This window comes from Homo sapiens, chromosome 19, assembly GCF_000001405.40.
Source record: "Homo sapiens chromosome 19, GRCh38.p14 Primary Assembly".
In the NCBI taxonomy this organism is placed as follows: Eukaryota; Metazoa; Chordata; class Mammalia; order Primates; family Hominidae; genus Homo; species Homo sapiens.
Genome location: NC_000019.10, coordinates 56,534,682 through 56,536,155, shown reverse-complemented (window position 1 = coordinate 56,536,155; position 1,474 = coordinate 56,534,682).

Genomic DNA, 1,474 nt, shown 5'->3' with positions numbered 1-1,474 from the left:
GAGTTGACAATACCTTTTTTATCTTATTGTAGCAGTCACTTATCCTCAAATGACTGCTATATCCTATTTTCCTATTATATGGGGCTATATGCGTCCTTGTTCATATTTAGCAGAGAAGCAACAGAAGCACACTAAAGAATTATGAAGAAAAATATTTCAATATATCCAAATTTTTAGAGAGCTATAAGAATAATTTCATTATTAAGTTCTCCTGCAGCAGGAAGTTGACAAAATATCTCATCTTAACCACCAGGAGTTACACTGTGCTTTTTTTATAAACCCAAAACTATAGCTTTTTGAAAAACAGAAACCAACAAGAAAGATGAATAATCTCCCGGCTGAATCATTTAGATTAAGCTGATACAACTTATGAACTACTGCCAATCTTCACATTTGCCATATTTATAAATTGTTTTATTAATTTTTTTAAAAATTCAGTATAAAGAGTAATATATACTCACAATAGGCAAAAATAAAATTTATAGCACAAAGAAAGGATGTCATATGCTTAGGTGTCAGATGTTTAACAAACAGAATGTACAACATAATGACATTTGATTTGGGAAATAATACTTAGTCCAATGAATTTAGTTATCCAAGGAATCTACTGATTAAAAATATGAATTTTCTATAAAATCATAATTTCTGATTCTATATTTTTCTCTGGAGAGGTATTTTATGTTTTATGTCCATAGGGCCTTACCACATCATGGGACATAAGTCTTTCCTTAGTCACTCAGGAATAGCCTTGTGATATCTGGCTAAGATGAAGGGCAGTCTACTCCTGTCACTGGGAATTCAGTCAGCTTTCGATGAATCATCTGAGGGTGGAAGAGACACCTGAGCACAAGTTGAGTTTTGTTAGAAAAGACAAAAAGGAGACTGGATGCCAAGCAGGTAACCAACAGTACATACTGCCAAGAAGTTATCACAGGAGTGCCACGGTGGGGAGCCTGTTAATATCATTCACCACTATTAATAAATAAGGATGAAACAGTTCCTGGAATCATCTCAATAGATGATTGAGATAAAATGCAGCTCACACCTGTGATTTTAAAAAGAAAAAGCCTTAGCAAACTAGGAATGGTGGAGAGCTTCCTTACTTGGATAAGAAGATGGAATAAAATTATTATAAACCCCAAATACTTTCATTCAGCTTTGGTTAAAATGGTCTGTCAACATCAGACTGGAAAGCAAAGGTTTCCATAGGTAGTCCTGAAAATGGAAAGCAGTGGCATAGACTTTGTCTTTTATTATAAATAATATTTACTCATAACTTATTATTAATTGGAAAATGGAAAAAAAAAGCCTCAGACCAAGAGGTGAAACCTCACTTAGGTTAGATTTTGTGAGCCTACTTTAAAAGCAGTAGAGTGATAAATTGGCCTTCATCAAACTGAGATACACAGCATGTGAAATAAAAAATTCACTGGGCTTAAAAGCAGAATGGAAACAAAAGAAGTAAGACTAAGTG